Source organism: Homo sapiens, chromosome 15, assembly GCF_000001405.40.
Source record: "Homo sapiens chromosome 15, GRCh38.p14 Primary Assembly".
Classification (NCBI taxonomy): domain Eukaryota; kingdom Metazoa; phylum Chordata; class Mammalia; order Primates; family Hominidae; genus Homo; species Homo sapiens.
The window spans coordinates 98,625,818-98,650,839 of NC_000015.10; the positions used below are offsets into that span (position 1 = coordinate 98,625,818).

The following is a 25,022-nucleotide window of genomic DNA, read 5'->3' on the forward strand; positions in this document are numbered from 1 at the left end:
TCTCTACTGGAAAAACTAGCCGGGCGTGGTGCCACGTGCCTGTAATCCCAGCTACTCCGGAGGCTGAGACACGAGAATCGCTGGAACCCGGGAGGCAGAGGTTGCAGGGAGCCGATATCGCGCCGCTGCAGCTGCACTGCAGCCTGGGAGACAGAGCAAGACCCCGTCTCTAAATAAATAAATACATACATAAAAATAAAATAGAGGTAATAATCATGACAGGGTATGCACTACCAAGTTTACACATTAGTTCTTAAAAATTTTTTAAAACTAGATAACATATGTAAATGTTAAGGTGTTACACAAACACGTTATTCTTTCATAATACCTGAAGACTATATTTCTTATATTTGAGAATCTGAGCACTCTTCAAGAATTGCGCACTCAGTATAAAAGGTACCGTGTTCCAGGCAGTGGGGTTGTCTGTCCATGCCATCCTGCCTCCCTGTCCCCACTCCCAAGCCTGGCCCACATACTCATATAAAGCACAGAATTCCAATCTGGTGCATCAGCCGCCCCCACTCCCCATTCACTCCCAGCTTGCCTCCTCCCAGGTCCGAGCATCCTCACCCCTGGCCTCCTGCTTGTTTCAAATGATTTTGTGCCTTTGGCAATCCCCAGGCTCTCCTCAAAGCCTATTTTAGAAGGAGCTCACCACTCCTGCCCATTTGTGGGTTGACTTTGCACCTATGATGTTTCTTCTCCCTCATGGCCCCAGGCTGCTCACCTCTGGCCCACAGCGTTTAATTAGATGGATATTGAGGATTGAATGGGTCTGTACTTGAGGAAGGGCAGAAGTATTTCATGGCAAAGAGAATGACAGTAGCAAAAACTAAGAGGCTGGAAAGAGCTGCGCACGCTTCTGCATGTGATTTGGGGAAGGCTTGGATGGCTAAGGACAGCAAATGTAACTTCCTGGGCAAGGTAAATTCTCAGGGCATCTAGGTACAGATGATAGTGTTAGAGAATGGCTCAGAATTCGAATGTGACGAATTGCTACTGATTTCTTCCATCCACTTTTAATTTATAAAAGTTAATCTTTTTTCCTTTCTATACCATCATTGGTCCAATGTCATATTTCTATGGAATTTATTCTGATCAATTTCAGAGACTTTTATAAGATGTAATACTCAGTGAGGATGCAATAAAATCTCATATTTGGCTGCTGAAGTATAAATAACAAAACTTCCTGTGGTACAAATTAATAGTACATATGCATTAAGAGATTTTTTAAAATTCATATTCTTTGATCCAGCGATTTTAATTTATCCTGAGTAAATTATCAAATGCTTATAAAACTTTTGTACAAGGATGGTCACTACAAAATTATTCAAAATTGAGAAAAAATGGAAAACATTTTACATATCCAACAATAGTTGATAGGTTTGAATAAATTAAGGCTCACGGATAAGATTGAATTCTACTGATTGTTACAACGAGTAACAATACAGTGAGAAAAGCAGGCTCTGTGTAATCCTGTGTGTGTGTGTGTGTGTGTGTGTGTGTGTGTGTGTGTGTGTGTATGTGTATCTGCATACATCTATACAGATCAGAAGAGGAAACTGCACCACACATTAATCACATGTTATCACTACTTGGTGGAAGAACAGGTGGCTTTAATTTCATTTTACTTTTCAAAGTTTTCCTAGCTTTCTTCAAGGAGTATTTGTTGCTTTATTGGAGGAGGAGTTTGAAGAAACCTCGTTTAAAATTTTTTTGTGGTAAAAGACACATAATATAAATTTTGCCATTTTAGCTATTTTTTAAGTATACAATTCAGTGGCATTAATTATATTCATAATGTTATTCAACCATCACCACTACTTATTTCTAAACTTTTTCATTTTCCCCAAACAGAAACTCTGGACCCATAAAACAATAACTCCTAATTTCCTCCACCCCCCTACAGTCCTTGATTACCTCTAACCTACCTTCTGTCACTATGAATTTGCTTATTCTAGATATTTTATATAAGTGTAATCATGCAACAATTTTTCTTTTGTGTCTGGTTTATTACACGTATAAAGTTTTCTAGGTTCATCCATGTTATAGCATGTATCAAAATTTTATTTTAAAGGGTGAATCATATTCCATGGTATGAATATACCATATTTTCTTTATCTCTTCATCTGTTGATGGGCACGTGGGTTTTTTCTACCTTTCAGCTATTGAATAATGCTGTAATGAGCATTGATGTATAGGTATCTGAATCCCTGCTTTTAATTCTTTTGGGCATATACCTAGGAGTGGAGTTTCTACATCATATGATAATTCTACAATTAACTTTTTGAGGAGACTGCTGCTTTTCATGAGAAAAACACATATTTTAAATTTCACTGTGATTCAGCTTTCAAGAATATAGTGTAGATATTCTGATGCTGTCAGCATCTATCAGTTGTAAAATTGAATGCCTCAAAATGTTCCTGTGTTTTACACATGTCCTCACCAGCTAGAAGCTTAGGCCAACTTTTAGAAAATGTCAATATAAATTTAATTTATCCAAATATCCGTAAGAGCTTTATGTATGCCAAGCATTTCAGGGCTAGAAACTAAAAGAAACTTTGTGATCAGTAACTCTTTTTGGAATGTTTCAAGTTGCAAAATCACCCCTGAGAAAACCACATCATTTACTTTATTGCAATCTTTTGCCAACACTTAGATCTTTTCCTCACATTTCCACATGCAAAATTTTCAGTTCCAGGCAAACTCCAAGTATTTTCATTTAGGAATTGCTTTTTTTTTTTCTTTATAATCAGAATGTCACTTTAAAAATTTAGTCTGAAATTCAATACTGTTTAGTTTAAAGAAAATTTTCTTAGGTAACTTGTCAGAAAAGGATGATTGATTGTGTACGGGTTGAATGTTTTAAAAATGAGAATCATGGAATTTAATAAAGTATATTGTTTTCTCTTGGGCTTAAGACATCCACAAAGGATCCAATTCCAATATGAAGTTTAAGCTTCTCTAATTTTTTCCAAAAAAATCTTTTTCTTATTAATCTGACAAAAGAGGTCTGGCCAACAGTTGTCAGGACAGGGGATATCCTTTTTTTGTCTATTTAAAAAACTCTTGTCTACAAAGAGAAGTCTCTATAAATAGGAGAATGGGTCAAATATCCTTAGAGAAACAAGAATCTCTATAAATATCTGAGTTTCAAACTTTTCTAGTTATACCATCTATTTGTGTAATCTAAAACCACAGGTACCTAGGATATATTAAAAAAAAAAAAAAAAAAGCGACCCAGTGTGTTTTATAGCAGAGTAGACGTATTTTTCTAAATGGGCTTATATGGCAAGTGGGGACATTATGAAGAGAACATAAAAGTAGAAATTTAATAGACAAAGGATTCATATCTAGAATGCATAAAGAATTCCTATAAGTCAATAAGAAAAAGACAAACAATTCAGCTTAAAAAAAGACAAAGAGTTGAACTGGTAATACCCAGAAGAGAAAGCTGGCATGGCCAATAAGCATATAAAAATACACTCAGCTTCACTAGCAACTGGGGGAAAGAAAATTAAAACAACCATGAGAAGGCATTTTATATGGATGATATCAGTCAAAATAAAAAGATCTAATGACATCAGGTATTAGTGTGGAAGCAGGGAAATAAGGGCTCTCGTCTCTTGGTGGGAGTATAAATGGTAAAACCACTTAGGAGAGTAATTTGAAAAAAACAAACAAACAAAAAAAAAACCTAGAACAGTTGAAAACATGCATCCCCTGTGACCCAGCTATTCCACTGCTTGGCAAACACCCTAGAGAAACTCTTACACGTGTGCTTAAGGAAACAAGTGCAATATCCTTCACTAAAATTGGCAAGTGTATAGGGGAAATACAGTTGGAGCATGCTGCTCAAAACCTATAGAACTTTGTCACCCCAGCACTAACAAAAGCTACCATGTTTTAAAAATTATGACACAAACAGAGTTGGTCCCATGCTGGCATTGTTCCCAGCATCCCAGGTGCCTGTCCTTTTCAGCCTTCAACCCGAGGCTCCTCCTTCTGGGACAGGTAGGTAGAGAACATTTTCATCAAAATTAAAAATATGGCCCCTGGACTGTATTTTTTAAGGTCCGAAGTTTTAATACAAGGAGAAATGCTTCCAATTTCTTTTTTTGTTTGTTTGTTTTTGAGACAAGGTCTCGCTCTGTCGCCCAGGCTGGAGTGCAGTGGAGAGATCTCAGCTCACCACAACTTCCACCTACCAGGTTCAGGCAATTCTCCTGCCTCAGCCTCCTGAGTAGCTGGGATTACAGGCGCCCGCCGCCACGGCCAGCTGATTTTTGTATTTTTAGTGGAGACGGGCTTTCACCATGTTGGCCAGACTGGTCTTGAACCCCTGACCTCAAGTGATCCACCCGCCTCAGCCTCCCAAAGTGCTGGGATTACAGGTGTGAGCCACCACCCCTGGCTGAAATGCTTCCAATTTCTTAACGTTATTCTTCTGCACCCACAGCAAAACCATATAGCTTAATAGCTCTATGGAAAACATAGTGCTCCTCGAAGTCACTAACCCTGTAAGTATTCGCTCCGAAGGAAGACATTTTAGTAGATTTTCAGCTCCAGGTCTGTATTCATTGCTACGACTTTTTTTTTTTTTTTCTTTTTTTTGAGATGGAGTCTCCTCTGTTGCCCAGGCTGGAGTGCAGTGGCGCGATCTTGGCTCACTGAAACCTCTGCCTCCCGGGTTTAAGCGATTCTCCTGCCTCAGCCTCTGGAGTAGCTGGAATTACAGGCGCCCGCCACCGCGCCCCGCTACTTTTTGCAGTAGAGACGGGGTTTCACCATGTTGGCCGGGATGGTCTCGATCTCCTGATCTCGTGATCCACCCGCCTCGGCCTCCCAAAGAACTGAGATTACAGGCGTGAGCCACTGCGCCCGGCCGACTTTCTCTTTTAATTGCTTTAAAACAGTAACATGTTGTGGAAAATCATGTGTAAGCTAACATGACTTCCGTGTTCTAACATCCTCCCCTTATTTACCAACTGTGTGTTAGGTAATTTGTACAAGAAGTAACCCGAGTTGTAATGAGGATGTACATTTCAGCATTGTTTGTTATAGCAAAGAGCTGGGTAGGGAAACTCTGAAAGTCTCTCACTTGGCAGTGGTAAGTACAACCCTGTATATTCACATCATGGGATAGTATATAATAACTAAGGCAAATGAGCTAGATCCATGTCTATCAATATACATTGGTCTTGAAAACATAATATTAGTTTAAAAAGCAAGGTGCAGAACATGTAAAGTTAGAAAAATAATGAAACAATACTAAGGATTATATGCAGCAAAAATATAAAATGCAAATCAGAAAAATACATACCAAAATAATGGTCATAGTTTTCTCTGTAGTGGGCAAGAGGAGGATAAAATCATGGAAAGGGACTTCTACTTTATCTCTAAATTTTATTTCTTTTTTGAGATGGAGTCTCATTCTGTTGCCAGGCTGGACTGCGGTGATCTCGGCTCACTGCAACCTCCGTCTCCCGGGTTCAAGAGTTTCTCCTGCCTCAGCCTCCCGCGTAGTTGGGATTACTGGCGCCCGCCACCATGCCCGGCTAATTTTTGTATTTTTAGTACAGACGGGGTTTCACCATGTTGGGCAGGATGGTCTCAACCTCTTGACCTCGTGATCGGCCCGCCTCAGCCTCCCAAAGTGCTGGGATTACAGGCGTGAGCCACCGTGCCCGGCCTCTAAATTTTATTTCTTTTAAACCAACAAAATTCAAGGCAAAAATGAGAAAAATGTTTTCATTTGCTAAATCTGGCTCATGGGTAAAGCGTCTCTTCAATACTTTTCTCCTTAATTTTCTGTGTCAAAATTTTTTCCCAATTAAAAAAATAGGAATTTAACTCAGTTTGGTAGACATTTACTGAATGCCTAGTATGTGCAATCACACCCCTAAGTAACACTGGTGAAAGAAATGACAAACTCTGCTGACACATCATTTACAAGGAGTGGAGACAGTAAAGAGGTGTGTGAGAATAGGAAGAAGGAAAAGCTAATTCCACCTCTGGGGAACCAGGGCTGCTCCTCCCTGAAAGACACCAGGCTTCGTAGAGTGAGTGAGTGAACAGCGTTCAGGAAGGAGTTTTTTCTTTGAGGGATGACATGTAGATATAGAAAGGTTTCTTTCTAATGGAAAACCCAAGAAAATGAAACAAAAGAACCCAATGATTTCATCATAAATGGCACAAGAAACCCAAATTCCGCTTTTTTTTTTTTTGAGATGGAACTTTGCGCTTATCACCCAGGCTGGAGTGCAGGGGTGCAATCTCGGCTCACTGCAACCTCCACCTCCTAAGCTCAAGCGATTCTCCCACCTCAGCCTCCTGAGTAGCTGCGACCACAGGCACACACCACAATGCTCAACTAATTTTTGTATCTTTTGTAGAGATGCTGTTTCGTCGTATTGCCCAGGCTGGTCTTGAGCTCCTGAGCTCAGGTGATCCACCTGCCTCAGCCTCTCCAAGTGCTGGGATTACAGGTGTGAGCCACCATGCCTGGCCTTAAATGTAATTTAAATAAGACGGAATTTGAATTCCCCACCCATGGAAAGAAGTTAACTCCACTTTGCTCAATAAATTCATTTTGTAAAACGTATTTTAAAAATGATCACTATGTCTGTGTTTAAGGCAGACTTTGTAACGCTATAATACTGTAAGTTGCATATTTAACACTATAATACTGAAAGTTGCATAAGTTCTTGGGAACTTATGCTCTCCTTTGACTTCAGTTTCCCCGTCTATAAAAATGGGTATGAAAATAACGACTATTTCTGTTTGTTAAGGAAATGGAGGTGGTGCGTTGTGTGCAATGTCTGGCTAAGAGCTGGTACTCAACAAAGTTACTTTCCTCTTCTTCTGTAAGAACCTGTTTATAGATAGAGCGAGACTCCATCTCAAAAAAAAAAAAAAAGAACCTGTTTATACGAGCAATGTCTACATTGCACTAGTTACAACAAATATTTCTTATCGATTCATTAATGTACATTCTCTTTTATCACAATTTTTTATTTTAATAATTATTTTTATAATTTTGAAAATAACGAAAGCTACAATCTGTTTAAAGGATTCTGCAGTATAAATCCTTCCCTAGTTCTCAGAGTTTTCTTGTAACACAGAGGCAGTGAACACTTTGGTGTTCAAAGTACATCTGCAAAAGGCCTTAGAGGTCTCTGAACCCTAGAAAGTGTTTGCAAAATTGTGTGTATGAATAGAGACAGATTTTTCCAGGGAGAGGACCCATGACTTTTATTAGATTACTCCCACTTTACTCCAACTGCTACTATAACCTTATATTGTGTGTCTTTTACAATAACTCAGCTTTGCAACTATACAGGAAATTGAAAACTACTTGCCCACCTTTATGTTAATAAAAAAATTAAGCTGGTGAATTAGACTGGGGTATGAGGATAAAAGAGAATATATTAACTTAGAAAAGAAAAAGAAAGGAGCATGCTACAGACCAATAACAAGGAAGATGAGGCAGGGCATAGTGGTGCACGCCTGTAATCACAACATGGAGGTTACTCGGGAGGCTGGGGTGGGGAGGATCACTTGAGCCCCAGAGGTGGAGGCTGCAGTGAGCCATGATCATGCCACTGCACTCCAGCCTGAGCGACAGAGTGGGTACCATGGCTCACACCTCTAACCCCCAAATTTTGGGAGGCTGAGGAGGGAGGATCTCTTGAGCCCAGTAGTTTGAGAATAGCCTGGGTAACATGGCAAGATCCTGCCTCTACAGAAAATTAAAAAATTAGCTGGGCATGGTGGTGTGAGCCTATAGTCCCAGCTACTCGGGAGGCTGAGGCAGGAAGATCACTTGAGTTCAGGAGAACAAGGCTGCAGTGAGCTATGATCGCGGCACTGCACTCCAGCCTGGGAGACAAAGCAAGACTCCATCTCTAAAGAAAAATAAAAGACAAGAAGTGAAAAGAAAATAGAAGTAAACAGCAGCTCAGCGATGGCATCTAATAAAGTCTTCTTCTCCTCTCCTTTTTCCTACTACCCTAGTTGTAGACCAAGAGGAAATATTTAATGAAAATTCAATGCCTTTATTGCAAATAACAAAATTTGGAGAGTGAGGAAACGTTTTTTTCTTTTCTTCCTCTTCCCCTTCCTCCTCCCCCTCCTCCTCCCTCCCTCCTCCTCCTCCTCCTTCTTCTTCTTCGTTTTTTTTTTTTTTTTTGAGATGGAGTCTTGCTCTGTCGCCCAGGCTGGAGTGCAGTGGCATGATCTCGGCTCACTGCAAGCTCCACCTCTTGGGTTCATTCTCCTGCCTCAGCCTCCCGAGTAGCTGGGACTATAGGCGCCCACCACCACACCTGGCTAATTTTTTGTATTTTTAGTAGAGATGGGGTTTCACCGTGTTAGCCAGGATGGTCTTGATCTCCTGACCTGGTGATCTGCCTGCCTCGGCCTCCCAAAGTGCTGGGATTACAGGAGTGAGCCACCGCGCCCGGCTTCTTCTTTCTTCTTTCTTTTTCTCCTTCTTCTTCTTTTTCTTTAGAGACAAGAGCCTTCCTGTGTTGCTTAGGCTGGTCTTCAACTCCTGGGCTGAAGCAGTCCTCCTGCCTAGGCCTCCCAAAGTGCTGGGATTACAGTGCTGGGATTACATGCCACCTGCACATTTCTATCTTTATGCTCTAAGTGCTGCAGATTTGGGGGAAGCTCTAGCTCTGATGGGAAATGTCCGGACCTCTTTAATTTTCTTCACCCTGTTCCACAGGTCGGCGTCTTTATGCCTTCATGCGCCCTTCTCTCTTCGGTCTCTCAAGAGTAACTTGGTGCTTTCTTCTCTGTGGTCTTCGGAGTTCTGCTTATTCCTCTTCCTGAGGCCAGGAGACTGTTGGCTGTCCTAGTGATCTGATCGCATCAACACCCACTTTTTCTTCTTGGAAGTGGCCATGGTCACTTTTCCCATGGGCAGGGAAGAGCAGCTTCTGAGGATTACACGGAGCACAAAGGCCACGGAAGCTCCCCCCCAGTATAGGGGTGGGATCTTAGCACCTACCAGTAGGTTTTAGCTTCAGAAGGAGGGCCTTGGGTGCTCTGCCTGTAGGGAGCCCTAAAACCCCATCCGCAGCATGGCAGGACAAGCCAGTCCCCAGCCTCCACTGTCCTGAGGCGTCCCCTCCTCTGCCCGCGCTCTCTGCCTCATTCGTCCCCACCCCACCACATGGTCTCCTCTTAGGGGATCTCATGATAGGCAGTGGTTTTCAAACTTTTCAGAAAAAGTGGTGGAATCATTCATTTCAAATTAATTTTTCATCCAAAATCTAATGTATAAAACAGCTTGAAGCCAGGCAGAGCTTGGATGGTGGGATTGGTCATTTCTTTACCTCCTTAACTTCCTTTGACTCCTCCACAACCCCTTCTTTTGACAACCCCCAGGAGGGGCTATATAGCACCCCTCAGATTCCAGGGACACCACTGAGGAGCCATTGATGGAAGGAAGCAAAGCAGTCACTGCTGGCCGGGCACGGTGGCTCATGCCTGTAATCCCAGCACTTTGGAAGGCTGAGGCAGGTGGATCACTTGAAGTCAGGGAGTTCAAGACCAGCCTGGCCAACATGGTGAAATCCTGTCTCTACTAAAAATACAAAAATTAGCACACCCGTAGTCCCAGCTACTCGAGACGCTGAGGCAGGAGAATTGCTTCAACCCGGGAGGTGGAGGTTGCAGTGAGCCAAGACCGCACCATTGCACTCCAGCCTGGACAACAGAGCGAAACTCCATCTCAAACAAAAAACAAAACAAAACAAAACAAAACAAAAACAGTCACTACTCACTATTCCTGTCAAAGTTCTTGTTCACAAACAGCAACATCCAACTGTAGGCCCTTGATCAGTACAGGAATTTATTGGAAGACTACACTACTGGATAGCTGAGAATTATAAGGAAGGCTGGGAGAACCAGGCTCAAAAAAAGGGGAAAGGACCATGGGGGACTAGATCAGCTGAGCTCTGGCCACGCAGTTTATGTTCTGTGCAGTTCCAGAGCATCAGTCACTATATTTGTGCAGTGCCACCCGGGTAAGTTCCGAGCAGGGTCCTTGTGACCCCCTTCAGAGGTCCGTGGTGTGCGGATGCTGGGCAGCCCAGAAGGACAGTGTCCTTCCTGCTTCTTTGTGCCAGCTCCTTTATTTATTTCAGCTCCTTTCATCCTCTCCAGAGCCCATCCTAAAATCACCGGGGGAACCTCGTTAAAATGCAGATTTCTAGGCTCTCTCCCACGCCACCACCTACCTCCCCACCCCCAGGATCCTGTCTGATAAAAAAGTTCTGGGTGGCAGCCTGGGAAGTTCCATTTAACAAGCACCTCAGCTGATTCTGATGTGGGTGGCACAGGAAACACATTCAGAGAAACACTGCCCTGCATGCTAAGCTTTATGATTGCTATTTTATAAAGGGGTAAAGTTTCACTCACCCAGGATCACATAGCTGGCAACTGAATTCAGACCCTTCTGGCTCCAAAGTGTATGCACTTTTCACCATAGTCAAGACATCTCTCTTCATACCGGTTTCTGAAACTTCAGTTTTTTTCCTGTTCCAAATGTCACTTCATATGTTTCTTTAAATTGATTTTATTAAAAATAAAACTGGCCAGGCACGGTGGTTCATGCCTGTAATCTCAGCGTCTTGGGAGGCTGAGGTGGGTGGATCACTTGAGCCTAGGAGTTCGAGACCAACCTGGGCAACAGCAAGACCCCGTCTCTTAAAAAAAAAAAAATCAGCCGGGCATGGTGGTGCATATCTGTGATCCTAACTACTTGAAAGGCTGAAGTAGGAGGATCGCCTGAGTAGGAGGATCGCCTGAGGCTAGAGTTTGAGGCTGCAGTGAGCTATGATCGTGCCACTGCACTCCAGCTTGAGCAACAGAGCAAGACACCATCTCAAATAAAAAATAAATAAAAATTGGCCGGGTGCGGTGGCTCACGCCTGTAACCCCAGCACTTTCGGTGGCCGAGGCGGGCGGATCACGAGGTCAGGAGATTGAGGCTATCTTGGCTAACACGGTGAAACCCCGTCTCTACTAAAAATACAAAAAATTAGCTGGGCATGGTGGTGGGTGCCTGTAGTCCCAGCTACTCGGGAGGCTGAGGCAGGAGAATGGCGTGAACCGGGGAGGCAGAGGTTGCAGTGAGCCAAGATCGTGCCACTGCACTCCAGCCTGGGCGACAGAGTGAGACTCCGTCTCAAAAATAAAATAAAATAAAATAAATTTTAAAAAAACCCTAGATTCATTTTTTAAAAAAAGTTATTATTTTCATAAATAGAAAACCATTATTACTTGCTATTCGCTATAAATAGGAGGTAACCATAAAAACAAACTGGCAAACTGAGTGCAGTGGCTCTTGCCTGTAGTCTGAGCTACTCAGGAGGCTGAGGCAGGAGGATCACTTGAGGCAAGGAGTTTCAGGCCAGTTGCCCAGGCAACTGGTCTTTTTTTTTTTTTTTTTTTTTAAATCTTTTAAAATTAGTCGGGCACGGTGGTGTGCCTGCAGTCCCAGTTACTTGGGAGGCTGAGGTGGGATGATTCCTTGAACCTAGGAGTTTGAGGCCACAGTGAGCTATTTTATTTTAAAGAGACAGGGTCTCACTCTGTCACCCAGGCAGTGGTGCCATCATAGCTCATTTTAGCCTTGAACTCCTTGGCTCAAGCCATCCTCCCAACTCAGCCTCCTAAGTAGCTAGGACTACAGGCCTGAGCCATTTTGTCTGGTTTATTTATTTAGTTTTTTGTTAAGATGGGGTCTTGGTACGTTGCCTAGGCTGGTCTTGAACTCCTGGCCTCACATGATCTTCCTACTTCAGCCTCCCACAATGCTGGGATTACGGGCATGAGCAACTGTGCCTGGCCTGCAGTGAGCTATGATTGTGCCACTGCACTCCCGCCTAGGCGACAGAGCAAGACCTGTTTCTTTTTTTTCTTTTTTTTCTTTTTTTTGAGATGGAGTCTTGCTGTTTCCCAGGCTGGAGTGCAGTGACACGATCTCGGCTCACTGCAACCTCCACCTCCTGGGTTCAAGCAACTCTCCTGCCTCAGCCTCCTGAGTAGCTGGGATTACAGGTGTGTGCCACCATGCCCAGCTAATTTTTGGATTTTTATTAGAGACAGGGTTTTGCTATGTTGGTCAGGCTGGTCTCGAACTCCTGACCTCGTGATCCACCCGCCTCAGCCTCCCAAAGTGCTGGGATTAGAGGCATGAGCCACCGCGCCCAGCGACCTTGTTTCTAAACAAACAAACAAAGTGAACTGTTAGTGACAGATCCTGACCATTCTGAAAAGAACAGGGCTGAAGTAGTGTAGCCTTCAGACTTGGTTACCCCTAGTCCTACTCCAAACACACACACACACACACACACACACACACACACACACACACACACGGCATTCATGCAGTATACATGAAGCTTTCTTAACCTGAGGCCCAAGTATGGGCTCAGAGGAGGGAACAGTTTTTGTGCTGTTTGATCTATTGGAATGTTTTCCTGAGCTGAGCATCCATTGCCCACATTCGAGTCTCAAAGAGGCTCACTATTGAAAAAGGTGAAAAATTGCTGTTTGAAGTGAATGTTTCCAATCTCGCTTTTCTCTTTAGCTTATGTTACGTGATTCCTCCTCCCACCTAATTTTCTTCAAGGATCCCCTCCCACTGTGTCCTGGACTTGGTGCTCTTTATCCCTCACAACTGGGTTTCACAGACCTGTTCTGAAGGGACATTTGGCCTGTGTTTCCATGAATGCCCCCTGGAAGGGCACAAGACAAGCATGTCCTGGCCCTGTAGAGAGGTCTGTGCTGGGAATGGATCATGACATGAAACTTCTTCTCCCTGCAAATGTCTGCTTTGTAAATAGTCTGCACCTTTGGTCTGGATGCTGTAATAAGTTGAAGCATTTCTTAGCAGCATTTATTTTTCTTCTTAAAAAATTATAAATTGAGGCTGGGCACGGTGGCTCACACCTGTAATCCCAGCACTTTGGGAGGCTGAGGCAGGAGGAACACCTGAGGTCAGGAGTTCGAGACCAGCCTGGCCAACATGGTGAAACTCCATCTCTCCTAAAAATACAAAAATCAGCCGGGTATGGTGCCAGGTGCCTGTAATCCCAGTTTCTTTGGAGGCTGAGACAGGAGAATTGCTTGAACTCGGGAGGCAGAGGTTGTAGTGAGCCGAGATCACACCACTGCACTCCAGCCTGGGCAACAGAGTGAGACTCGATCTCAAAAATAAAAAATACAAATTATAAATTGAACAATGAGTAAATGGATGGCAGATGGTGAGAACCAGGGTTCTCACTAATGGATGGGAGCAAGGGCAAGGGGAAGGAGGCTAGGATGATCCGTGTGCTAATGGAGCAGTTGGAAACTTCAGTAGGAACTTCGTTTGGCTTCACAGAGATACAGATGGTTACATATTGAAATATTTTCAGATATGTGTAAATACACAAGTTAGTATGCACAGATGTGTTTCCTTATTTCGTCAGCTGAGAGGACCTAGAAGCAATGACACCCCAGTAGCAACAAGCACACCTGGCAGCTGGCTTTTGGTTTCTGAAAGCGTTTTCCAGTTTCCACTGGAACCAGGGCTCCTTGGAGAAGTAACTGATTCTAGGGCTGAGGCAGGAGATATATGAGATCAGCCTGGAGTATCTTGTAGTGCCGGAAACTAAAATTGCTAAAACCAAAACAAAACCCAAAATGATGGGGGTATGTCAAGTGGACCCAAGAGGCAAATGAAATTACTCCCAATAGCCAAACCTGGAACAATCTGAGCAACATAATAAATAAAGTATTACTGGGTTATAACCCAAAATATGAAATAAATATCCACAAGCCTGTACTGATATAAATAAAAAGTTATTATATAAATAAAGGAGAATAGACAAACCTGCTGTGCAGAAGAATTGTAGATAACTTACACAGATATGTTTCCCTTACGGAGGTGGAGCATAAGTGTGGGATAGGCAGAGTGACTTTCTTTCAAAGAGTACAACATATAAAGAGAGAGAAAAATAGAGATAACTTTACAGTAGAAAACTTGATGAACATCACCTCAGGCAGGTGATCAATGTTAACATCATGTTGATAGCATGTACCCTTGTTATGATGTGATGAGAACAGCACTGTACCTCTGGAGTCTTTCTCCCAGAAACACATTATCCAACATGGTGAAACCCTATTTCTACTAAAAATAGAAAAAAAAAAGAAATTAGCCAGGCTTGGTGGTGGGCGCCTGTAGTCCCACTTACTCGGGAGGCTGAGGCAGGAGAATCGCTTGAACCCGGGAGGCAGAGGTTGCAGTGAGCCGAGATTGCACCACTGCACTCCAGCCTGGGCAACAGAGTGAGACTGTGTCTCTGAAAACAAAAAAAATCATCATAATAACGATGTCTTAATATTGGTTCATTAGTTATGACAAATGTCGCATAGCAGTATGTTAATAATATGGGGAACTGGGTGTGGTTATATGAGACTCTCTGTACTACGTTTGCAACAGTTCTGTAAATCCAAAACTATTCTCTACTAAAAAGTTTATTTTAAAAAAGACAAAGGAAAAATTTATAAAACAGTTCAAGCCTACAAAAAATACACAAAATAACTTACAGACACACATGTACCTGCCATCCAGGTTTAACAGATATTAACATTTTGGATCATTTGCTTCAGATATCTTTTGTCTTTTAAACAAATAAAAGGTTGTCAGTATAGTTAAAACTATTCTCTATTTTTTATCTCTTCCTTCATCCTGAGAGATAATGTCTCACTGACGTTATTATCTCTTCCATGAATATTTTATACTTTTGATACATATGTATGTATCCATAAACAATAATGCTATTGTTTTTGTATTGATAGTTACATAAACAGTAGCATATCATTATTTAACCTTTGCAAATTGCTCTTTCACACCATATTGGCTGTTAAATCTATCTATGTTGATTCGCTTAGATCTAGTTCATTCATTTTAACCTCTGTATAGTATTCTCCCTATTCTACCGTACAAGTAAAGCACCATTATTCATCCTTCCACTGAAGGACACTTAGATTGTGTCTAGTATTTTACTATTGAAAACAATGTTCCAATTAACATTCTTGTTTGTGTCTCCTGGTGCATATATCAAGAGCTTTTGGGGTATCCTCCTTATGAATGGAGTTGCTGGGTTGTGGAGCAGGTGTATCTTTAACCTTATGGATATTGCCAAGCTGCTCTCCAAAGGGTATGTACTAATTTATTTTCCCAGGAGCAGTGAATGAGAATGCAATTCTCCCCATTCATCCTTGTGAACAGTTGGTACTGTCCAATTGTTAATTTTGCCAACCAGGTTGCTGAGTATATTTTCATGCTTATTGGACGTTCTGGCTTCTTTTGTGAATTTTATGTTTATAGCTATTGCTATTTTTGTACTGGTTTGCTTATAATGTTCATATGAATACATATTTAATTTCTTACAGAGGCAACACAAGGTTTTCAGCTATCTTAGCCCAGCGATGTATCGGAGCAGGCTCACACTGTCTTACAAGAGACAACTGTGCACAACTTTTCAGACTTCTGTATCCAGTGACCTTACATTGGTAGCTCAAATTGGCCATGGTGGGAATATTTCTACAAGGGAAATTGGGAAACTGCAGATCTTGGCTTTCCCCACCCCATAGTCCATGTTAAGCATTTACCAGCGTACCACTATCTTAACCTCCACCTTGGCCCAAGCATCTCTCACAATATGACTGACTTGAAAATAAATCTTGATCTAAGTTGGCTTTTCAGTCTGTTGGAACTGGGCCTTGGACCTCTTTCAGGAGCGATTTCATCAGGGTTTCTGTAATATATGAGAAATTCAATATCCTTTTGAACTAATGCATCTTCTACTCTGAAGTGGATCACTATTCATTTAAAGCAAAGTGAGGGTCCTTCGGCAGCTCATCAGTCACAGTAATCCAAGCACAGAGTAGAATCCAAGTATCCAGTGATCCTGGAACTGGAAGGGATGGCAAATGTCACCCCCCACCACACACACCCCTACCATCTTCTCAATCTTGTTTCTTTGGACAATTTCCACAGCAGGTATCAGTTCAGTCTCTGCATGGACATTCTGACGACAGGGATTTCTCTCACACCACGTAACTCTCCAAGCAGAGACTGCAAAATAATACTGACTTTTTGTTTCAATTGGAAAAGAAGAAAAATTCTTTAAAATAAATGAAATCTGTTTTCCTTCCCGTTAGTCTAGTTCTGCCCATTGGCATTACCTGGATCAAGTCGAATGACCAATGGGCAGAGCTAGACTGATGGGAAGGAAAACAGATTTGAAAAGTCTAATGACTTCTTCAGGTATTTGAAACCAGAAATCATATACGACCTCTCTTAATGTCTATGTGTCTTAATAATTCCTCATGGATGTAGGAACCAGCCTTTTCCAGGTTCAGGTCCCTGTGGTCCCTGTTCAGTTCTCTGGTTGATCAATGGTACTCCAAGAACAAATATAAACAACTTCATTCTGCAGCTGATTCTCCAAATTGCAGAGCTGCAGATATCTGCATAACTTCAAAATCACCTTATTCTGTAGCCTGTTCATGAGGCCAGAAATAGAGTTTGCTGCTAGTAAGGAGCCTGACACAATGATGTTGCATTTAAAAATGTACTGAAGAAATGTGCAAATATATTCTACAGAATAAGGTTCCACTAGAACTTAATATCCCAAAGAGAATGTTTTGCAGGAACATTCTCAATGATCAATTGAAGGATCCCTTTTGTGGGTTACCTGTGACCACTTCCCCCTGCCTTGCTGATGTTTCTGTTTGTCTTTCCATACTCACATTCTTAGGAGAAAATATATTGAAATTCAAAACTGCTAAAAAATATTTTATGCTATACTTTAAGAAACCCTGGCTGGGCATGGTGGCTCATGTCTGTGATCTCAGCACTTTAGGATGCCAAGGTGGGTGGATCGCTTGAGCCCAGGAGTTTCAGACCCACCGGGGCAACATAGTGAGACCTTGTCTCTATTAAAAACAAACAAACAAACAGCTGGGTGTGATGGCACACTCCTGTAGTTCCAGCTACTCAGGAGGCTGAGGTGGGAGCCAAGATTGCACCACTGCACTCCAGCACTCCAGCCTGGGTGACAGAGTGAGATCGTCTCAAAAAAAAAAAAAAAAAAAAAAAAAAAAAGAAAAGAAAAGAAAAAAAACCTCTAATGTGTGAAAAATCTGTATTAATAAAACAAATTAGGAAGCGTTTATTCCCTGAGCCTGGCTGCTGTTGCCTGTATTAATTTATAGATTTATTAATTACTTGACAGAGAAGGCAAAAGTACAAAATGTACAACCAAAGTATGAGATATCAAGGTACCACTGTCAATTAAAAATCAAAAAAAGAAGTCATATTTTAGAGCGGAATGGTCAACGTCAACATGATCATTTCATAGAGGAGAAAAGAGAGAGGTGAAGCCACTTGCACAGAGTCACACAGCTTTGCAGAGTAGGGCGGGGTAGGGCAGAGGAGCAGCTTGTCTCTTCCTGGCATGCTGCTGATAAAACATCTCAGAGCTGGTGGCATTAATCAGAGGGAACAGAAATTTTGATTTAACCCCACTTTTCATGTACATCTATGATGCATTTCAACAACGAAGAAGCATCTTTTGTACTGTCTGCCAGACAGGGATCCTTACTATTGATATGTTTGAAAGTTAATTACATGGAGGAGTGAAGACGGCACACCCATCTCAGAGACTAACCACCGCAAATGACAAGTGAAAAAGACAGAGCCGTTACAGCTATCCTGGTCGGGTTTATTTTCCCAGACTACCATGTGGGGAGTTGAACATACCCACCCTCAGGTCGGGGACAGGCTCGTGACGATGCTCAGGGTAGTGGTGGAGCCCCAGAAGCCTCCAGTTTCCATTTTGGACCCACGGAGATCTCCAGGGTGCCTATCACTCTTGGCCCAGGCCTGGGCTTTCCAGGAACTTCCCCGATTGATGTTTTACTGAACGTGGTGCCGAAAGTTAGTCACAGGAAGACATTATCTCAGCTGTCTCTGCGCAAATGCTCTCTGAAACCTCCACGTTGCTTTTAAAGCATCATGGAGAAATGTAGCATTTATGCCTTGGGAGCCAGCTATCTATGCAGAGCTAAAATAGAAAATCTTCTCAAGTTGAGTATAAACAGATCCTCAACAAGACTGAGACTCTTGTTGCTTGTGGCTGTGTGGGGATAGGAATCAGCTACAGCATCACTTGTATTTTTCCTGCCCTTGGGGTGCTCTGTGGAGACCATGTGATGCCTTCCACAGCTAATGCCCCTAAGGAAAGACCTTAGGCAGATACACACTGAAAGTATACACATCTGTAGACAGCTGTGGGCAAGGATGTTGGAGTTTAGCATCTCTACTAACTCACCTAATAGTAAAAACGGGAAGCATTGTGCTAACATTTTTTTTAGAACAGCTGCAACTATCTAAATTATAATACAATCTTAACAATTTAACATTCAGATACAATTATGCAGAATGAAGTGCACCCATCTTAAGTGTACAGTCTGATGTGTTTCTGCTAAATGCATATACTAGCATAGCCAACACCCCATCAAGATATAGAGCATTGCCATCACCCAAGAAAGTTCTTTATGCCTCTCCCTAGTCATTTGAAACTTTCCCTCTCTACCCACCCAGGGCAGCCATGATTCTGATTTCTAGCTCTAGATCAATCTTGCCTGTTTTTGAGCTTTACATAAATGAGCTAATACAGTATGTACTCTTTTGGCTTATACATTATGCTTTGGAGACTCATTTATGTTTTTGCATGGATTAGTAGTCCATTCCTTTTTACTGCTAAGCAGTATTGCATTGAATGGATATATCATGATTTGTTTATCCATTCTCCTTTTGATTTACATTTGGGTTGTTTTAGTTTTTGCTATTATGAACAAAGCACCTATTGACATTCCCATAGAAGTATTTTTGTGGAATTTTCATTTCTTTTGGGTAAATAACTAGGGCTAGACTTGCTGGATCGTAAGTTAGTTGTATGTTTTACCTTATAAGAAACTGTCAAACAGTTGACATAATGCACTCTTAATGAAGCTTATTACCTGTGAAGTGAGGTCTTTTAAATTTTTTGTCTTTTGATTTTTGTCTTAAATTGCATCGATATTAGATGTGTGGACATTCTTCTGAAATATCTTAAGGATCAGACCTTGATTAACTGTGTTATTTTAGTAGATCTTTAATGCTTCTGAGTTATTTATACGGACAGCTCGAAATCTGAACGACTCCCATTGGAAAACCAGAATGATCTCTTTCATGGATCTCTCCCATATTTTTATTTATCTTCTTTAATGTTTTATACATACAAAAATATGTAGAACATGTGTTAGTTATTAAGCATACTTATAAAATGGAAATTTGTAAATCCGTCACTCAATCCAAGAGTGAACTCATTTCCAAATTACAATGGAAACCCATGTGCCTATGGGCTTCTCATCCTCTCCAAAGGAATTCACATCCTTCATTAATTCTTTTGCTAAAACAAAAGCAAAACAAAGGAAAAATATTATTTTATTATTTAAAGCAAAAAAAATTTTCTGTAACTTTTAAAGTTTTCCTTGCTTTTTAAGAGCTTTATCAAAATGGTGTTACGCTGTGTGCGTTTTTGATATTTGTATATTTTTACTCAGTGTGTTTCAAAGATCTGCCCATGTTGTGTGGGGCTGTAGTTTATTCACTTTTGCTGCTAACATTCCTTTCTGCGAATACATCACAATATACTGTATTACTTGATACTTGTCAATTGTTGTGCTGTTTCTCACGTTTGCACTTGATGTATATGATATACATTACATTTTTTGGGGAGTCTGGTACATTTAGCAGAATAATTTGAGATGAAACTGTTATCAAGTAAACGGCGTTTTTAAAAAATGAAAACAAGCAATCAGTTTCTGCTCCAAAAGAGGGAGAACCTATAAGATACCTGAGTAAAATGGTATAAAATAAAAAGTTTGGTGCATTGTCAATGTGGGTATAAAGCAAAGACTCCAATTAATTTTTGTCTACATGATTTTATTTCAAGGTTGAAAAAATAAGTTTGACTTGTGTATGTAAAATATAATCATTGAAGAAATACAAATCACCTCCTTTGTCCATGTGGTCAAGTTAGAGCGTAAAGACAACCTAAATTTTTGTTCCTTTTTTTTCCCTAAATATTAAGCTATATAATGATACATCTCCCACTTCACTGTTTAAAATAACTTAATACGATTGATTTCCTACTACTTCAGGAAAACACAAACATTTAAAAAATTCACAAATAAAAATCATTTTAGTAAAAAAAAAACACACAAAAACAAATCCTACAACCCCTACAACAACCTATATACATTTAAAAATTCTATAGACCTCTTTATGTTCTTGGGGACAAATAAACAGGCATATTTATTACTAATACTAAAAATACATTGGGTAGTATTTGAAGATTTTATATTAGCACTAGCCTTTTAAAAATCAGCTCTAAATTTTTGTCTTACAAGTATGTATTAAAAATTCTGAAATCAAGTATAATGAAATTATATATCAATATTCCTTTGCATTTAACTCCAGAGTGGATCTGCAGGAATCAAGACCAACCTCATGCAGAGAACTTAAGAAATATTTAAAAATTAGTAGACTGGACTTTAATTCTTCATGTGTAGTGCCTAATTTTTAAATAATACATTTTAAGATTCTAATAAATTTATTTCACTGTTAAATCTAGGAACATCCAAAACTGAAACTCTTTATTTAAAAATCAAGCTGAATTTCAGTTAAACAAAACCATCCCATCATATGAATAACTTTCTTAGGTAAAACAAGGTTTATTTTCTTTCTATACAACTGACTCTGAATTGAGCTAGAAATTTCCAAGGAGGAAAATGATCTAGGAAACAACTTTAGAAAAAAAGGGCTAAGTTTCCGTTATGATAGCTTTTGACTTGTTTTCAGCTCTTAAAAAATTATTTACGAACGATGGATACACGTTCTAATGCAGAAGTATTTTAGAATTAGAGAGTAAAAGAAACCTACTACCTTCCTTTACATCAGGTCCCTTCTACCATCCTACCCGATTGTTTGAGACAACCACTTCTTATCTCGACAATTCACAACTCTTTTATTAGCTATCTTAAAAAAATTTATTACTGGCATCAATTAGCCTGAGTCATGAAACCGGACCACATTAAGGGCGACACATGGTCCAATCACTGTTTGTAAAAGTCCACGTATTTCAAACTCCTCTCTCCTGCCACTGCTGGGCTGTTTCCCTCTTTGAGGACCTGGTCTCCGCAGCATTTATTCATTAGATGGCAGTCCTAGGGGAGTCTCGCTTTGGGGAAACCTCTCCTCCTGCACATTCAAGAAAACAACCGCGGAGACTTAGGGTCGGTACTGGTTTCCAGTCACTTACGTAGCAAACGAAGCAAGAGGAACGTGCCTGGGAGGACCCGAGACAGGTGCGGGTGGGTTTCCGCAGTAGCCGCTGATCCCGAGTGCATGCGGCGTGTTCCCGGGTCGGGACCGCGGCCAAGGGAGGCTTCCCGGCCCCAGCCTCCACCCCCTCCTCGGCGCCCCGGGACCCGGACACGCCCCCCGAGCTTCGGAGACCCGCAGCGTGCACGCGCCCCGGCCGCTCCCCGCAGCCGCCCACGTGGTGGAGCCCTGAGCTGCGCGAGGCCGCGGAGAGCGCTCAGGGCGGGCGGCTGGTCCGGGAGGCCACGCCAGCGCGACCCAGCCGAGTCGGCCCCCAGCCCGGGCCCCCACATTTCCTCCCCCGGAGGGAGGGAGGCGACTCTCCGCGGGCTGCCCTCCCCAGCGCCCGCCGCGCCCTCTGGCGGCCGCCGCGGGGACGCGCCCGGGGCACGCGGCGCTGCCTGTCTGGGCCCCCCTTCCGGGGCGCGGGGCCCGCGAGGGGCGGCGGGGTCCTCTCTCCTCGAGCCACTCTGGGCCGAGCCACACGGGCCGCGCCCTTCCCCCTCCGCTCCCCCTGAGCCCCCAAACTCCGGGCTCCACGGTCGCAACGCCGCGGGCACCCCAGCCTGGCGTGAAAGTGCCCGGCGTAGTAGCCTGGGGGGGGGGTCCCCTTTCTCCCAGGTGCGCCCCTTCCGCCACGTTCGGGCTTTCCAGTACGCAGCGAAAAAAATGCCGCATGCACGCATTTATTTATTTTGCAACAGCTGCAAGAAACAATGAAGCTTTTCAAGAACCGGGGAAACGCGCTTTCCAGCCGCGCTGTTGTTGTTTTCAATGAACCTCTCCCAGCCCCGCACTCCCCGCCCACCCCTCCCCTCTCCTGCCCACCCCTCCCCTGCCTAGCCTTTCCCTGGCTACCCACCCCTGCCCCGCCGAGACCGGACCGGCGGCGGGGGCATTGTTTTTGGAGTCGGGCGGGAGGGGAGGGCGCGTGCGGGGTGGCCGGCGCAGTGCGGTGGGGGCGGGAGCGGGTGGGCACGCGCGCGTGTCTCTGTGTGCGCGCGGGAGGCGGTGGGGCGGGAGATGGGGGCGGCGCCTCGCAGTCTCGCGCCCCACGCCCGGGCTCCGCTCCGCACGTCTTGGGGAACCGGGCTCCGGTTTTTTGCGCGCGCCGGCCTGGGCCGGGCCCTCGGCGCGCCGCTGCTGCGGCGGTGGCCGCTCGAGTGTGCGAGCGGGCGCGTGTGCGCGGGCCAGGGCGCGCGCGCGCGCGCGAGCCCCCAGTGTGTGGCAGCGGCGGCGGCGGCGCGGCGAGGCTGGGGCTCTTGTTTACCAGCATTAACTCCGCTGAGCGGAAAAAAAAAGGGAAAAAACCCGAGGAGGAGCGAGCGCACCAGGCGAACTCGAGAGAGGCGGGAGAGCGAGAGGGACGCCGCCAGCGAGCCTGCCCACGGCCGGCGCTCGCAGACCCTCGGCCCCGCTCCCCGGATCCCCCCGCGCCCTCCACGCCCCTCCCGCGCGGGGGCAGCTCCACGGCGCGCCTCGCCTCGGCTGTGACCTTCAGCGAGCCGGAGCCCCCGCGCAGAGCAGGCGGCGGCGGGCGGGGGCCGGGCGGGGGCCGGCGCGGGGCGGGCGGCGGCGCAGAGCCGGGCGGCGCGGCGGGAGTGCTGAGCGCGGCGCGGCCGGCCCGCCGCTTTGTGTGTGTCCTGGATTTGGGAAGGAGCTCGCCGCGGCGGCGGCGGCGCTGAGGGAGGAGGCGGCGGCGAGCGGAGCCAGGAGGAGGAGGAGGAGGGGGAGCCGCTCATTCATTTTGACTCCGCGTTTCTGCCCCTCGCCGGCCTCGCCTGTGACCCGGACTTCGGGGCGATCTTGCGAACTGCGTCGCGCCCTCCCGCGGCGGAAGCTCGGGCGTCCGGCCGCCTCCCGCGCGGCCAGGGCCGGGCTTGTTTTTCCTCGCCTAGGCAGATTTGGGCTTTGCCCCCTTTCTTTGCAGTTTTCCCCCCTTCCTGCCTCTCCGGGTTTGAAAATGGAGGCCGACGACGCCGACAGCCCGCCCCGGCGCGCCTCGGGTTCCCGACTCCGCCGAGCCCTGGGCCGCTGCTGCCGGCGCTGAGGGGCCGCCCCGCGCCGCCCGCCCCGTCCGCGCACCCGGAGGGCCCCGGCGGCGCCGCCTTCGGAGTATTGTTTCCTTCGCCCTTGTTTTTGGAGGGGGAGCGAAGACTGAGTTTGAGACTTGTTTCCTTTCATTTCCTTTTTTTCTTTTCTTTTCTTTTTTTTTTTTTTTTTTTTTTTTGAGAAAGGGGAATTTCATCCCAAATAAAAGGAATGAAGTCTGGCTCCGGAGGAGGGTCCCCGACCTCGCTGTGGGGGCTCCTGTTTCTCTCCGCCGCGCTCTCGCTCTGGCCGACGAGTGGAGAAAGTGAGTATGTGCCCGCCGCCCGCGGCCACTGCGGGAACTTTTCCTCCGAGGGGCTGCGCCCTGTTTGCGAAACCCGAGTTGCCACCGTCGCAGCTGTCGGGCCCCCGGGCTCGGGAGCGGCGGGGTGGGGCGCAGGGCGGCTCTGCCGGGAGGGAGGCTGCAGCGGACCCGGGACCCGGGCTCGTTCGTCTGGAGCCCCGCGGGCCCTGGCTCCGCGCATCCCCGCGCGGGAAGGGCTTTTCTCTTTCTCCGTCCTGACAGCCCAGCCGTGTTTCCCGGCTAGGCGCGAGGACTCGGTAGGGAAGTTGGTGCCGGGGCGGGCTCCGCGGTTCCCGGGCCCCGCGACCCGCACCTCGCCCCTTCCATGCGCAAGAGCCTCTCCGCACACAGCGCTGATCCCCTGCGGCGCGCAGGCAGCAGCGACAGCACCCTGGGCCGCACCGCGTCTCCGCTGCTGGGGCTGACCGGGCAGTGGGGAGCGGGCAGCCGCCCGGCCCGCGGGGTGCGAGTTGCCCTCGAGGGGGGAGGTGCCCTGCGGAGAGGCCCCGAAGCCCCAGGACACGTCTCCAAGCGCCCGTCGCTGCCTCCCGTCGCCCAACGTGCTTTTGCCCCTCGGGCTCCTCGGGTTCCTGGCCTTGCCCGTCACTTTGGCCCGCTCCTCGTTGGGTTACCTGCCCCCGGCGTCCCGGGGCTGGGCGGTGGGGTGAGGGGAAGCGCTCTCTGGGCAGCCCCCCGGGAAGTGCGAGGCCGGGAGTCTTCCTCAGCTTGTCTCTTCCGGGGAGCGCCACTGGGTCCCCAGTTCAGAGGGCTCTGGGATGGTCTCCCAGTTTCTCCCGGGCCGGGGGATGGAGGGGTACTAGGGCCGCATCCGAGTGTGCGTTGGTGGGTGTGTGGTCGGAGCCGACGTGCATTCCGACACACGTGCTCGCAGCGCGGGGTGTAGTCGCCGCCTCACGGGGACACCTAGACGCCCGTCCCTGGCGAGAGGTGTCGTACGCTGTGGTTTCAGCGCCAGGGTCTGCGGCGGCGCGGGGAGGGTGTTGTGTTTTGCGAGCGCGGAGCCCTGGCCTTGGTTTTGTTGTGGTCGGCGTCGTGTCGCCCTCTCTTCTGCCGCCCCGCACTTCCTTTGTACGTAGTTAATAAGCAGTGTCGCTCCACATTCGC

The 25,022-nt window shown here is 45.4% G+C and overlaps 1 protein-coding gene and 1 long non-coding RNA gene across 5 annotated transcripts in view, besides 5 other annotated features; one reads left to right on the plus strand and one right to left on the minus strand.

The window, feature by feature from the left end:
* On the minus strand, positions 20,046-24,970 carry IRAIN (IGF1R antisense imprinted non-protein coding RNA). The gene has a single exon (NR_126453.2). It is a non-coding gene; the product is annotated as an IGF1R antisense imprinted non-protein coding RNA (long non-coding RNA).
* Positions 20,824-21,445: an enhancer, noted in NCBI's record as "H3K27ac hESC enhancer chr15:99189870-99190491 (GRCh37/hg19 assembly coordinates)". NCBI's record gives its function as "activates a minimal SCP1, AML or CMV promoter by ChIP-STARR-seq in primed H9 embryonic stem cells {active_cell/tissue: H9 hESC(primed)}" and the evidence as "EXISTENCE:reporter gene assay evidence [ECO:0000049][PMID:30033119]".
* Positions 21,457-21,506: a silencer, noted in NCBI's record as "silent region_6854". NCBI's record gives its function as "represses an Ori minimal core promoter by ATAC-STARR-seq in GM12878 lymphoblastoid cells {active_cell/tissue: GM12878}" and the evidence as "EXISTENCE:reporter gene assay evidence [ECO:0000049][PMID:35858748]".
* Positions 21,517-21,986: a silencer, noted in NCBI's record as "silent region_6855". NCBI's record gives its function as "represses an Ori minimal core promoter by ATAC-STARR-seq in GM12878 lymphoblastoid cells {active_cell/tissue: GM12878}" and the evidence as "EXISTENCE:reporter gene assay evidence [ECO:0000049][PMID:35858748]".
* Positions 22,047-22,106: a silencer, noted in NCBI's record as "silent region_6856". NCBI's record gives its function as "represses an Ori minimal core promoter by ATAC-STARR-seq in GM12878 lymphoblastoid cells {active_cell/tissue: GM12878}" and the evidence as "EXISTENCE:reporter gene assay evidence [ECO:0000049][PMID:35858748]".
* Positions 22,477-22,746: a silencer, noted in NCBI's record as "silent region_6857". NCBI's record gives its function as "represses an Ori minimal core promoter by ATAC-STARR-seq in GM12878 lymphoblastoid cells {active_cell/tissue: GM12878}" and the evidence as "EXISTENCE:reporter gene assay evidence [ECO:0000049][PMID:35858748]".
* Positions 22,722-25,022, plus strand: part of IGF1R (insulin like growth factor 1 receptor) — a 315,992-nt gene continuing 313,691 nt past the window's right edge. For all 4 annotated transcript variants that reach the window (NM_000875.5, XM_047432443.1, NM_001291858.2 and 1 more), the window contains exon 1: positions 22,722-23,858. In NM_000875.5, coding sequence (NP_000866.1) covers positions 23,765-23,858 — 94 coding nt within the window. In that variant the 5' untranslated portion in view covers positions 22,722-23,764. The remainder of the gene's footprint in view (positions 23,859-25,022) is intronic.